This window comes from Homo sapiens, chromosome 12 (genome assembly GCF_000001405.40).
Source record: "Homo sapiens chromosome 12, GRCh38.p14 Primary Assembly".
NCBI lineage: Eukaryota > Metazoa > Chordata > Mammalia > Primates > Hominidae > Homo > Homo sapiens.
Genome location: NC_000012.12, coordinates 49,911,912 through 49,926,767, shown reverse-complemented (window position 1 = coordinate 49,926,767; position 14,856 = coordinate 49,911,912). Strand labels below are relative to the sequence as shown.

Sequence of the window (14,856 nt, the reverse complement as noted above, 5' to 3'; positions counted from 1 at the left end):
GAAATATCCCCATATCATATTTTCCTCAGTTATTGGAAAAACATTTCTATGGTGGTTTTCCATACAGAAGTTTAAAATTTTTTTATGTGGTTGAATGTATTAGTCTTTTCCTGTATGACTCTGGGTTTTCCATCCTGATTAGAAAAGCCTTCCCACTATGCTATGTGGGTGATGGGTTTGATTGTACCCCAAATCCCAGCATCCTGCAGTATAGCCTTATAACAAACCTGCACATATATCCCCCAAATCTAAAATAAAAGTTGGAAAAAAAGAAAGACTTTCCTATTCCAAAATGTAAATCAATTTACCCATACTTCCTTATAGAATTTACATGGCTTTATGACACTTAAATCTTTGACCCAAATGGAATTGTTTTGGTTCCATTTTTATGATCCCTCTCCAACAATATTCCAGGCATCCCAACACCATTGATTGAATATTGTATTTTCTCCATTGAGTTGAGTGGACATGTTTGAATCTTTCACTAAAGTTCTGGAGCCCCTTCCCTAGCTTAAGGTTCCTTTTGGCTTTAATGTGTCAGGGTGGATGCCGACCCATTGGAAGAGACAGGCATGGATGTGGAGTAAGGGAAAGAGGTAGAGCAGGGAGCAGAGGCTCTAACCTCTGTACCATCAGCTTGATGAGTGATCTTAACACATCATTTCTGCTTTCTGGGCCTCCGTTTCTCTGTAGAATGAGTAGAGAAGACCAGTTATTTTCTAAGGCCTCTTCCAGTTTGAATACTGTTTGATTCTAGGGATTGCAGAGAGCAAGTGTGTGGGAGTGACAGAGCAGGAACTGAAAATGAGACATCCATGGTATTTGTCAGTCTCTTCTTTGCCGGTCCTGCCCTCTCCCACCATCCACCACCCCTCACCCCCCAGCTCCCCTGTCCAAGGCCCAGGGGCCTGGGAACCAACCAGACCTTAGCCCTGGCAGGGGAGGGCAAGTCCCAAGAGAAGCTACTGATTGGGGGACAGCAGGCAGAGGACACAGTCCCCTGAAATATGCTGAGAAAGCCAGCCCTGTGCCAGCACCACTAGAGTCTAATCACCTCCAAGGCCCTAGACCCATCCCAAGAGAGGAAGGGCTGGGTAGGACCGGAAAGCGCCACTCCGAAGGTGGGATGTGACTGTAGGAACACACACATGCACACACACACACACACATGCACGCATATGCACACATGCACGATACACACACACATGCACGCATGCACACACATGCACACACACATACACACACATGCACGCATATACACACACACATGCACACATGCACGCACACACGCATACACACACACATGCATGCACACATCATCCCAGGATGCATACACACAAAAGGGGGCAAAATTACTTGGGCTTTGCAGTGAGACAGACCTCCGTTCAAATCCCTGCTCCACCACTTAATCTGTATGATCTTGGCAAGGTATTTAAATTCCAGAGCGTCCTCGAGAATGAACTTTGCAGGATTTTTGTGACAACTCAGTGAATCCTAACACAGTGCCTGGGACACAGTAGGAGGCCACTTTAGGATATTCTGTGTCCCCTCCTGCTCCCTCTTTCTCTGTCCTAGATGCTTGAGTCTTTGATCAGGCCATAGCATGGTGCAATAGAAAGAGATCTTGGCCCTGGGGTCAGACCACCCTGCATTTGAATCCCACCCATGCAGCTTCATTACCTCACATCCATAGAGCACTCGGCATGGCGCCGGGCCCACAGTGGGCACACAACAAGTGGTGTAAATACTACTGCTAGGTTCATCTTCAATGAGCCCAGGAGCTTACTGAGGCCAGCATCCAGGTAGGACCAGGTAGGACAGGGTGTTCAGGCCTGGAGAGAAGAAGGCGTGAGTCTGAGGGATTCACTAACAAAGGCTTAAGACGATCATGCAGTAATGATCCGATGGCCCCACTGGGAGTCTTGACACTGACTCATCCTCATGTTCGATTCAGTTCTAGGCAGCCTTCACAGAGCCATTTCCTGGCCTACACCCCTGTCATTCCCAGCCAGTCAATAAGCCACCATCAATAAGGCTGCCAGATAAAATCTAGGACACACAGTTACATTTGAATTTCAGATAAATATTGAGTTTTTTTTGATATAAATGTGTCCCAAATATTGCATAGGGCATACTTATGCTAAGAAATTCTTATCTGAAATTCAAATTTAACTGTGCGTCCTATATTTTTATTTGCTAAAGATGGCACCCCTAGCCACTTGATCACCCACCACTTATAATAGTAATGACTTACATTTGTGAACACTTAAGCGACCATTACATCAGCTGCGTGCCGCCCTTTGCAGTCAAGGTCACGTCCACTAGCTGGTACATCCCTCCTTTGAAGAGGTGGCACATGACATTGTGGCGAGGGGACGTGCAGGCACTGCTGAGCCTCCTCAGCTCACTGAGGAGGCCCGGGGGGGCACCGGGCTCACTGGGAGTGGATGGGAGCCCTTAGTCAGCAATATCATTATTATTACCTGCCTTTAACAAGCAAAAAAACTGCAGTGCATTCATTTAACAAACGTGTACTAAGCCTGGTGCTTTTCAAGGCCTGAGAGGAGAGGTTAACTGATGTGCACAGTCCCCCGGCTGGTGGATGATGGCCAGCTGAACTCTGCAATCCTAGGCGGAGGCGGTCAAATGATTCTCCACCCTCTCCATCATGCCAATGCTGGAGAATCCCCAGCAATACATTGCAAGTGTGTCTGAATCTTCTGTGTATGTGTTCGTCTCCCTCCCCAGCCGGCTCCACTCCTCTTACCTCACTCCAGGCTGGGAGCCCCAGTGGCTAGAGACAGTCTTATTAACCTTAGGATTCCACTGAGGAGCTCAGAGTGGGTGCCCAGTAATTACAGGGAGTTATTGACGGGGGTCCCCTCTTTACCAAGCCACTGCTTCCTTGGGACCAGGGGCATGACACTGGTTACATACTTCCCACGGCCCTGCTCTTCTTCCTTCAGGTCACAAATTCCGAGGGCCTCTGGAAGGAGTCAAGAAAGGAAGGGCAGATACTTGGGTGGGACAGAAGAGGAGAGGTTGAAGACAGGATTAAGGCGGTAAAATACAAAACACATACTTACACAAATAACATTGTTTTGGCATCAGCAGTGCTGGCATTTACTGTGATGGGTGGGTCCCTAAAATTAAAGTTGATTGGGGAAGGGGTCAGGGCAGGGACAGGTTCAGAGTCAAGATACTCAGGGCAGTGCTGAATGAGTCTTAGAACACTAGCACGTAGGAGCAGCATTCCACAGCTGGCCCCTGCCCCTCACCCCACCCCAGCCCTTGGCCACTCCGCTCCAGCCACGCTGGCCACCCTGCCTGCGTGCTCCCTGTCAGGGCCTTTGCTCTTGCTGTTGACTGCTTGGAATGCTCTTCCCCCAAATGTCACTCAGTTGGCTCCCTTGCTTTTTCCAGTCTCCTTCTCAACAAGGCCAGCCCTGCCCATCCTGCTGAGTCCTGGAACTGCCACATCCCTGCCCTCCTCACCACCTTGCCTAGCACCGCTTTCCCCTGTCCACAGTATCTCTAACTTCTAGAACTTTTTGTTATTTTGCTCACTGATGTATCCTAACATTGCAGAATGGCACCTGGCATGGTGTGTGCTCAGTAAACATGTGTTGTGTTGAATTTGTTGAACTGAATCTGGAAGGACCTTGATCATCTAGTTATTTCTAACCAGGTGTGCTTTCCGAGTTTCCGGTGGAACTTGTCAAAACACCCCAATCAGAGTCCCTACCCCAGACCTCCCGAGTCAGCTTGAGGAGCTCCCCAAGGTTTCATATATTAAAAATCCCTTCTCTGGTGCAGTCTCCCCTCTTAGCAACTGGCTTGCCAAGGCTCCCAGAGGGCCCGCTCCGTCCAAGGTCACTGCATAGTTGGGGGCTGAGCCAGCAATCCCACAGTTCTCTCCACTTGGAGCCCATTCCAGCTCTTCAGGCGGATTGGACAGCACCTCCTAGGCCAGTCTGGGGGACCCTCAGTCCAGAACACTCATTATCAGAGAGAGTGCCTGGCACTGTTGTTCTCTGTTTAGTTTCCTCCCAGCCCAGTGCCTAGCACATAGCTGGAGCTCCATGATTTGCTTTTATTGTTTTCTGTCTTATTCTTGGTGAGCAGATATGCCTGGGCCTCGGTCCAGTTGATCTTCATTTCACGTTCTCCAGTGAGCTGAGCAGGCACAGGGCTGGAGAAGTGAGGAACGGAAGGATGCCCCTGCCTTTCTCACTATGACCTGAGTTTCGAAGCAACGTCCTGTGACAACGAGAGAACTGGCTTGGGGCCAGTTGTCTATTGCTGTGTGGTCTGAGCCGGTCTCATAACCATTCTGTTTCCCAGCCTGTAAAATGTGGCTGGCACCCGGGGTGGACATGAGGATCCCACCTGCCAAGGTATTGCTGGAGGCTCACCATACAAACCCAAGGTTGCACTCTTGTTCAATGCCTCCTGTGGCACCCCTCTACCCAAGGACAAAGTTCATTTCCTTGGCCTGGAACCTGAAGTTCTTCCACCTTGGCCCCAGTCCCCAGCCCCTTGCCTCATCTGCTGGCACTCCTCTCTACACACCCTTCACTCTGGCCACTGTTAGTCACCACCCTGAACAGGCCACACCGTATCACACCTCCACACCTTTACACAAACCGTTCCTTCTGCTGGGAATGTCCCCTCCCTTTGCTACCCAGAGAATCGCAGCATCGCCAGCCTCTGCAACACCTTCCTGTTCTGTCTGTATCTGATGTGGAGGCCCGCAGCCCGGGTTACACCCCTGGCTCCACCACCTACCTGCTGAGTGACCTCAGGCAAAGTTCTCTACCCTCTCAGCCTCAGTTTCCTCATCTGCAAAATGGAGAAGATAACAAGACCATCCTTCAGGGTGTTGTAAAGATGAACTGAGATCATGTGGGACCTGGCCCCTTCCTGGCACACACGAGGTGTAAATGATGACTGTTAGTACTATCCTTAGTGTTCCTATCAATACCTCACTCTGCCCAACTGCACTCAGGATCTCTGCCCTCTAAGGTGACCCAAGGACCCCCCAGGCCAGCTGATTCTGGAGAAGCATGGGGATGGGGAGATTTCCTGCAGTCAGCCCTTTCTCTCTCTTTCCCTCCCTCCCTCCCTTCCTTTTTTCCTTCTTTCCTCCCGCCTTCCTTCCTTTTCCTTTCTTTTCTTTTCCTTTCTTTCTTTCTTTTTCTTTCTTTCTTTCTTTCTTTCTTTTTCTTCTTTCTTTTTCTCTGTTTCTCTCTCTCCCTCTTTCCTTCCTTCCTTCCTTTTTTTCCTTCCTTCTTTCCTCTCTCCGTCTCTTTCTTTCTTTCCTTTCTTCTTTCTTTCTTTTCCTTTCTTCTTTCTTTTTCTCTGTCTCTCTCTTTCTCCCTTCCTTCCTTCCTTCTCTCTCTCTTTCCCTGCACCCTGCCTACCGCCCCCCCACCCACAACTACAAGAGGATTTTGCTCTGTCACACAAGCTGGAGTGCAGTGGTAAGAACACAGCTCACTGCAGCCCTGACCTCCTGGGTTCAAGCAATCCTCCCTCCTCAGCCTCCTGAGTAGCTGGAACCACAGGCATGTGCCACCACGCCTAGCTAATTGTATTTATTTAATTTTTGGTAGAGGCGGGGGTAGAGGTGAAGGGTCTCACTACGTTGCCCAGGCTGAACTCCTGGCCTTAAGCAATCCTCCCACCTTGGCCTCCCAGCATTGATCAGCCCTTTCTGATTAATGAAACAATTAGGAGGAGAACCATAATGGCAATGGAAACAGAACTCACCAAGAACAGCTGTGTTCTTATGCAAGGGTCTGGGTCACAGCAGGTGAGGGGGGAGTCTGGGGAAGGGGAGAGACTGCAGCTGCAATAGGGGTTGCACCCCCCACACGCCAGGCTTGACTGTGCTCCATCCCTGAGGGGAAGTGCCAGGGACGGCCCTGCTCACCTTCTGGCCTGGTCTTCCCATCTATCAGGGCCTGCAGGAGGGCATCACCATCACCCTCTCTCTTCTCCACAACAACCGCTAGAGGACAGTGGGCTGTGGAGTCAGACTGCCCCGGTTCAGGTCCCTGCCGCGCCCCTTTCTAGGTGTGTAACCTTGGACAAATTGCTCAACCACCTGTGCTTCAGTTTCTTCCTCATCTCTAAAGTGGGGACAATAATAACGACTCCTGCTTCACTGAACTGATAGGAGGATTAAATTGCCATCATGTCTTTAAGACGCTGAGCACGATGCCTGGAAGACAGTAAGCACTCAGGAAATGTTAGTTATTATTAATCATTTCCTTATCGGGGGGTGGGGAAATAGAAGGAAAGAGAAGTGAAGTAACTTGACCAAAGCCATCCAGCTTGTAAGTGGTGGAGCCAGGATTCCACCCACGGGTTGTTTGCCTCCAAAGCCAGAGTTCTCTCAATTTTTCTATGTTGTCCCTTGTAATCACCCTTACTCCCTAAACTTAAGCTGGAAAAACAATTTTTAAAAAATATCCTAACTGGCTGGGCGCAATGGCTCACAGCTGTAATTCCAGCACTTTGGGAGGCCGAGGTGGGCAGATCATGAGGTCAGGAGTTCGAGACCAGCCTGGGCAACATGGTGAAACCCCGTCTCTACTAAAAATACAAAAAGTTAGCCGGGTGTGGTGGCGGGTGCCTGTAATCTCAGCTACTCGGGAGGCTGAGGCAGGAGAATTGCTTGAACCCAGGAGGCAGAGGTTGCAGTGAGCCGAGATTGCGCCATTGTACTCCAGCCTGGATGACAGAGCAAGACTCCATCTAGACAAAAAAGAAAAACAAAATACCCTAACTATAATGGCAATGTGTTGAAACATTTCAAATGTATGTAAATCCATAAGTTTATGATAAAAATTAATGATCACTTTCAGAGATGCTAGGGAACTCGCTCATTATTTTGAAAACTATAGGATTTTCAAGCCTCTAGATTTAGGGATGCAATCAAACTCCAGACTCTGGGAAATTCTACAGCAAAAATGACCTGGTTTCCTCAACAAATACATTGTAAGGGTGGAAAAAGAGAAAAAGGGGACCTATAATTTAAAAGAGACTTAAGGCCGGGCGCGGTGGCTCACGCCTGTGATCCCAGCACTTTGGGAGCCTGAGGCAGGCAGATCACATGATGTCAGGAGTTTGAGACCAACCTGGCAAACATGGTGAAACCCCGTCTCTACTAAAAACACAAAAATTAGCTGGACATGGTGGTGCACATCCGTGATCCCAGCTACTTGGGAGGCTGAGGCACAATAATTGCTTGAACCTGGGAGGCAGAGGTTGCAGTGAGCCAAGATCCCGCCACTGCACTCCAGCCTGGGTGACAGAGTGAGATCCTATCTCAAAAATAAATAAATAAATAAAAGAGCCTTAAGGCACAGTGGCTCATGCCTGTAATCCCAGTGCTTTGGGAGGCTGAGGTGGGAGGATCGCTTGAGGCCAGGAGTTTGAGACCAGCCTGGGCAACATAGCAAGACCACGTCTCTACAAAAAATGAAAAAATTAAGCCAGGCATGAAAAGAAACAAAAAAGAGAGAGAGAGGCTTAAGAAGCATTAATCATTTGCAATACAGTATATGGACTTTATCTGAATCCTAATTTGAACAATTGTGTAAATGAGAAAACTGGAGAATTGGAACAGTGACTAAGTATTTAATATTAAATTATTGTTAGTTTTTTAGGCATAATAATAGTAGTATAGCTATTTGTTAAAGTCCTCTTCTCTTAGAGACGCATCTGAAATAGTTACAGATGAGATGGTACGATGTCTGAGATTTGCTTCAAAAGAACCCAGGGGGTATGGCTGGGCTAGAGATGAAGCTCAATTGGCCGTGAGTTGGTAATCAGTGAAGTGGGGTGATGAGCGCCTGGGGTTATTATATTACTCTCTCCACTTTTATATATGTTGGAAAACTTCCATAATAAAAAGTTAAAGAAAAATCTGAATGATGTAAAACCGTTTTGTCTTTATAACTGCTTCTAGGAATTGATCCTCTTGGAACCTCATTTCCCCAACTGCAAAGGGAACTAAACTGTGTCATGGTGATCACCAATGCCCAACACTCACTAGGTGCCAGGCACTGCTCCAAGAACTTGATTTGTTTTCAGTCAATCTCTGAACCACGCTATGGGCAGGGGACTTGTACTGTGCCCATTTTGGAGGAACCCAAGGTCTAAAGAAGTTAGTGGTGGGCTGGGTGTGCCGGCTCACACCTGTAGTCCTAGCACTTTGGGAGGCCCAGGTGGGAAGATCCCTTGAGCCCATGAGTTTGAGACCAGCCTGACCCATGTAGGGAGACCCGATCTTTACAAAAAAATTAAAATAAAAATAACTAGCCAGGTGTGGCGGTGCATACTGTGGTCCCAGCTACTTGGGACGCTGAGGTAGGAGGATTGTTTGGGGCCGGTAGGTCAAGGCTGCAGTGAGCCAGGATCATGCCACTGCACTCCAGCCTGGGCAGCAAAGCAAGACCCCATCTCAAAAAAAAAAAAAAAAGTTGATTAACTTACCCAGGGTTACACACAGCAGGTGGGCAGGTGGAGGAACTCTAGAGCCCTGCTGCTTATGTTGTACAATAGGCTGCCTCTCAGAGTACAGAGCTAACCGTGCATCCATGTGAGCCACTGTGGTGTCTTTTCTGCCTTCACAGGTCCTCCCCATGCTGCCACATCCCTACCTTGCCCACTGCTGGGCCAGAAGAGGCTTGCTAAGGGTGAGGACTGTGGAAACTTGCCTGTGGTACCTCACCTTGAGTCAATGTGTGTGAGGAAGGTGCTCCTGAGAGTCGCTGACCCATGACTTAGGCAAGGGTAGGGCCCCAGCTTGAAGTGCGGGCAGAACCGGGCCAGGTGGAGGCAGCTGCATGTTTACCTCCTTCCCTGGGCTGCCTGGGCAACCTTTACCATCCTGGCCTGAGTGTGGAGAGACCCACTGAAGTTTCTCCCAGGCGTGTGTGTGTGTGTGTGTGTGTTTGTGTTTGGGGAAGGAGCAGGCTGGAGCTCCAAGGCTGCCTGCAGGAGGGAGAAGAATCTACTCCTTTGAAGGGGCTCAGAGGGGCAGGAGGCTGGATGTGATGACCCCAGGTGTCCTCACTGCCTGTTCCCAGCTGTCTCCAGCTACTGGGAAGTGCATATGTGGGTATAGAGTGTGGCCACCCCGCTCTCTGGGAGATTATAGCCTAAAGGATTTAAGGATTAAAATCTCCAAACACCCTGCACCCTGGAACCATCCAGGCAGGACTGGCACCATCTCAGCACAGTTCTTTGCTGTCTGGATTCTCTCCCCATTCTATCCCTCACTCACTCATTAATTCAGTGCATGTTTGCAAGCACTCGCTCTATGGCAGGCGCTGCGTTTGGCCCCGAGGGCGTGGCGATGAATAAAGCACGGTCTTATTTCTCCCAGGTTGCTCACAGTCTATTAACAGGGAAATATGAGAGTGGAGGAGAAAATATCTGCTCCACGCGCCCCTCTTCCCAGGAGCCTGGTCAGGCTTAGTTGTGCAGCCCCCTCACATTCCTCCTGTCTCCAGCCTGGTCTGGATTGATCCTTCTCCCACATGTCACAGTCCCTCCCATCCGAGTCTCCCCATAACATCGCCCTGTGGGTTTGCCCTCCAGAGAGTGGGGAATGGTTCAGTCTAGATCAGCATAGTTCAACAGAAAGAAAAATAACATGAGACATAAATGTGAGTTACACACATAATTTAACTTGTTTTGGGCTGGGCGTGGTGGCTCAGGCCTGTAATCCCAGAAATTTGGGAGGCTGAGGCGGGCAGGTCACGTGAGCCCAGGAGTTCGAGACCAGCCTGGGCAACATTGAGAGATCCTGCCTCTACAAAAAATACAAAAAAAAAAAAAAATTAGCTGGACATGGTGGCATGTGCCTGTAGTCCCAGCTACTCGGGAGACTGGGGTAGGAGGATCACTGGAGCCAGAGAGGTCAAAGCTGCAGTGAGCTGTGACCATGCCAGTGCACTCCAGCCCGGGTGACAGAGCAAGGCCATCTCCATAAATAAATAAATAAATAAATAAATAAATAAATAAATAAATTTTAATAGTCACATAAAAAAATATATAAAGAACAGGTAAAGTTAATTTTAATAACATTTTATTTAACCCAACATACCTAAAATGCGATCACTTCAACATGTAATCAATATAAAATTATAAATAAGATAGTTTGTATCTGCTTTTCATACTGTCTTTGAAATCCAGCGTGCATTTCACATTGATAGCACATCTCAACTTGGACTAGCTGAATATTAAGTGCTGACTAACCACACGTGGCTAGTGGCTACCACATTGGACAGAACAGATCTAGATTATCAATTCTGGGATCTGGTCCTCTTTACCTAGTTTTGGAGCTGGAAACACAACTCCATTATCCAAGCAACAGGCTCCACCTCCCCAGGAGAATTTGCCAGGAAGAAGGGAGGCTGCAGCCTTGTGTCCCTGCCCAGAACTCCAGCCTGTGGTGCCAGGCAGGAAAATGGGCTGAGGCTGGGCCAAGGGTGTGGCCCATTAACCAATCAGAGAGCTAAGAAGTAGGGGGTCTGGGAAGCTCAAGGGTCCCACCTGAGCTTCGTCCGGAAGTGAGCTCCATCACTTCTGATTTGGGTATGTAAAGAGCTTGTAGACGCCACACCCTTGCTCTGCTGTCTCCTCCATTCTGAATGCCTTTCCACCCCTTCCTTCAATTGCATTTGCCAAAATGTTATCCTTCAAAATGCTTAAGCTACAAAATTCAGTGAACAAAGAAAGAAGTGTAACACAGAGAAAAGACCAGAAGAAAACACACCTGCGTTTTAGCCATGGTTTTCTCTGGGTTTTGGAACTAGGTAACTATTTTCTTTTTACTTTTTCTTTTCCTTCCTTCCTTCTTTCTTTTCTTTTCTTTTTCTTTTTTTTTTTTTTTTTTTTTTTTGGAGAAAGGATCTCCCTCTGTCACTTAGGCTGGAGTGCAGTGGCACAATCATAACTCACTGCTGCCTCGACCTCCTGGGCTCAAGCAATCCTCCCACCTCAGCCTCCTGAATAACTAGGACTACAGGCATGTGCCATTATACCCAGCTAATTTTTTATTTTATTTTTTGTAGAGACAGGGATCTATCTGTGTTATCCAGGCTGGTCTCAAACTCCTGGGCTCCAGTGATCCTCCCGTCCTGGCCTCCCAAAGTGCTGGGATTACAGGCTTAAGCCACTGTGCCCAGCCCCTCTTCTTTTTACTTTTGTACATTTTCTTTAAAAAAAATTTTTTTTTGAGACGGAGTCTTGCTCTGTTGCCCAGGTTGGAGTGCAGTGGCGCAATCTCGGCTCACCACAACCTCTGCCTCCTAGGTTCAAATGATTCTCCTGCCTCAGCCTCCCAAGTAGCTGGGATTACAGGCGTGTGCCACCACGCCCGGCTAATTTTTTGTATTTTTAGTAGAGATGGGGTTTCACTATGTTGACCAGGCTGGTCTCGAACTCCTGACCTCGTGATCTGCCCACCTCGGCCTCCCAAAGTGTTGGGATTACAGGCGTGAGCCACTGCGCCCAGCCTTCTTTAAATTTTGAAAAATATGAACATGTCGGCTGGGCGTGGTGGCTCATGCCTGTAATCCCAGCACTTTGGGAGGCTGAGGTGGGTAGATCACGATGTCAGGAGATCAAGATCATCCTGGCTAACACGGTGAAACCCTGTCTCTACTAAAAATACAAAAAATTAGCCGGGTGTGGTGGCAGGTGCCTGTAGTCCCAGCTACTCAGGAGGCTGAGGCAGGAGAATGGCGTGAACCCACGAGGCGGAGCTTACAGTGAGCCGAGATTGCGCCACTGCACTCCAGCCTGGGCGACAGAGCAAGACTGTCTCAAAAAAAAAAAAAAATTATGAACATGTCTTAACTACATATATAATGGGAAAAATTAATTTGTTTAATATACATTTTTAAAAGCCTTACCTGGTCTTCAAAGACCAGTTAAAATGCCAACTTCCCTGAGGGTTTCTGAGACCTCGGTCTCCATTGCTTTACTCTGCTGTGGTCCTTCCTTACTCCACAGCCTGCCTGGTACTGAGTTTAACCTGGGCCTGTCCTATCTCTTCTCTAGCATCTTGAGGGTGGGGCCTGGCACAGTGTCAGCCACCCAGTAGGGGTTCTCTCTGCATTGTGGACTGAATGACTGAGGCCAGCTACAGCCAAAAGGCTCCAACTGGGCCCCTGGGTCGGCTCATGCTCTGGCCTCTCTCCAGAAAAAGTCTGCAAATCTCTTTCACCCCAGAGACTGTCAGCTGCTCAGGGAAAGGTCTTTTTGAAAATGCAGCTGATCAAACGCTTGCAACAGGCCCTGAGACATCTCCCAGATCTCGCTGTCACAAGTGCTCCAGAGGACAGGCTTCACAGCCTCGACTACACAGACACTGCTGAAATATTTACGAGGCTGCTGGCTTGTGAAACAGCTTTGGCTGGGGAGAAAGGGTAGGGATGTGGCGCTTGTTAAGTACCTGGACGTGTCACACCTCACACCGTGCAGGGAGCCTCCTGGCTCAGTGAAGGAGCTGCCATTAACCTCACCTAACCTCACTGGCAGGCTGAGACCCCAAGTTCCTGAAGCAGTACGGCATAGAGGCTGAGAGCTGGGCTCTGGGGGCTGACTGCAGGGCTGGGCAGCTGGCCCCATCACCTGCCAGTTGTAGGCAACCTTGGGCAAGTTACTTAACCTCTCTAAGTCCCAGTTTCCTGTCTATAAAATGGAGATGAGAAAGAGGACCTGCCACTGTTGGGAGGATTAAACAAAACAATCCACGTAGCATCCTTAGCATGGGACCTAGCATATGTTAAGTGCTGCATAAATGGCAGCAATTCTTACCATTATCAACCCAGTCAAACAAGAGTGAAGGGGCTTGGGAAGGAGCCAAAGCCACTCACTAGCAATGGCAACCCTCCAGGAATGGGCCGGACCCTCCTCTGTCTTCCTCATGTCCACTCAAGCTGGAAACCTCTCCCTCTCTCTCACCTTCTACCGCCAGGCAGCCCTTCACCAGATCCCCCCTTAAACAGCCCCTGAATCTGTGAATTTTATCCACCTTCAATGCCCAACACAAGCCCAGGCCACCATCACCTCTCCCATAATGGCAGCGGTAGCTTCCGCGTGTCTCTTCTCTGTCCTGCAGCCAGGGGGGCTTCTAAAATGGCCAATCTGGGCTGGATGCGGTGGCTCACACCTGTAATCTCAGCACTTTGGGAGGCTGAGGCAGGTGGATCACTTAAGGTCAGGAGTTCCAGACCAGCTTGGGCAACATGGTGAAACCCTGTCTCTACTAAAAATACAAAAATTAGCTGGGCATGGTGTGCATGCCTGCAATCCTAGGTACTCGGGAGGCTGAGCCACAAGAATTGCTTGAACCCAGGAGGCGGAGGTTGAACTGAGCTGAGATCGTACCACTGTACTTCAGCTCCAGCATGGGTGACAGAGTGAGACTGTCTCAAAATAAATGAATAAATAAATTAATTAATTAATTAAATGGCCAATCTGAGTGGGTGCCCACCCCTTCAACCTCCCTTACTCTGTAACTTCCCAAAGCCCTCCCCTGTCCACAAGGCTGGCATGATCTGCCTGATGCCCCAGGTACTTCCCCATCTTACAGCCTTTGCACAGGTGTTCCCTCTGTTTAGAACACTCATCCCCTCGCCAACCCCACCTCATCACTCGGGGCTGCTGGAGGCCTCCCCCGGACGTGCTCCTCCACCCATCTGCATTACTGCCCTGTTATTCTTCCACAAGGCAGCTTGGGCTTTGGCTTTGAGGCACTCGCCATGTGTGATTCTGCACTCCAGCATGTGGCTATTTACTTAAGACCTGCTTCCCCCTCTAGACTGTGAGCTCCTGGAGGGCGGGGAGGGGGTCTCTTGCTTGCTTCTGCTCTCCTAGCTCACGACATGACTCTCAGGCTGGGCTGGAAACACTTGGTTGAATAAATGAGTTCTGGTCCCCACCCAAGCACACAAGGAGTGACCCACACTGCTGCCGGGCCAAACTGCACTGAAAAATGGCATTGCTGTGTGGACGTGGCCCTGCCCACGTCCCGCAGGCAGAGCAGGAAGGGCTGAGGAGCCCTGGCCAGGCAAAGGGAGGTCATGGACACAGCACCGACACCTGCCCACCCCTTTCCAGTGACCCAGTCCTGCCTCCCACAGCCGAGCAGTGCTCTGTCAGTATGGATGGCCTGGACAAGTAGGGTAATGCAAGAGGCCTGGCAAGTTGAGGGCTCTGGCCCCTGGCCCCGCCTGGCTCTCCGCTGTTCCCAGCTGTCTTTTCCTCATCACTCCCTCCTTGGCCCAGACTTATCCTTTCATGTTATTCCTCTGGGGATGGTCTGTCTCCTACTGGAGGCTTACTCAAGGAAATGAATTTTTAGTGGTGGAATATTGAGCCTGTTATAGTCTCGGCCAAGGGTAGACGGCTGGGAAGGGGGTCCCTCAAACCCCACCTCTTAGACAGTTGCCTCCTGTCCCTGTGAATACAGCTGCTTTGCCTGGATCAGCCTCCAACCTCACTCTGGGCTAGGCCACCTTCTTCCTAGGATTCAGCTCAAAGTTGGCGCCTCATGTTTTCCTTCCTCCACGCCTTCATTTGCACACCATTCTGGTCCCCTGCAGGGCCTCATTCTCCTCCCCCAACATCACTGTCTCTTGTCTGTTGAAGCCTACCCTTTAAGATGCAGTTCAAAAACCACCTCTCCTTCAGGCCAATCCTTTTCAATCTCCCAATCAGATATAACTTCTTCTGAATCCTCCAAAAGCACAGTACTGATAACCTTCAATCATATATGGCTTTGTCTGAAGGATACTGGGGGACAAACAGCTGTCTCTGTTGTACCTG

At 49.3% G+C, this 14,856-nt stretch overlaps 1 long non-coding RNA gene across 1 annotated transcript; it reads right to left on the bottom strand.

Annotated features, from left to right (window-relative positions):
- Positions 1–428: 428 nt before the first annotated feature.
- Positions 429–14,815, bottom strand: LINC02395 (long intergenic non-protein coding RNA 2395). The gene is made up of 6 exons (NR_110048.1): positions 14,685–14,815; positions 3,087–4,842; positions 2,255–2,986; positions 1,681–1,832; positions 1,380–1,506; positions 429–687 (listed from the first exon to the last, which is right to left on the bottom strand). It is a non-coding gene; the product is annotated as a long intergenic non-protein coding RNA 2395 (long non-coding RNA).
- Between the last annotated feature and the right edge of the window lie 41 nt (positions 14,816–14,856).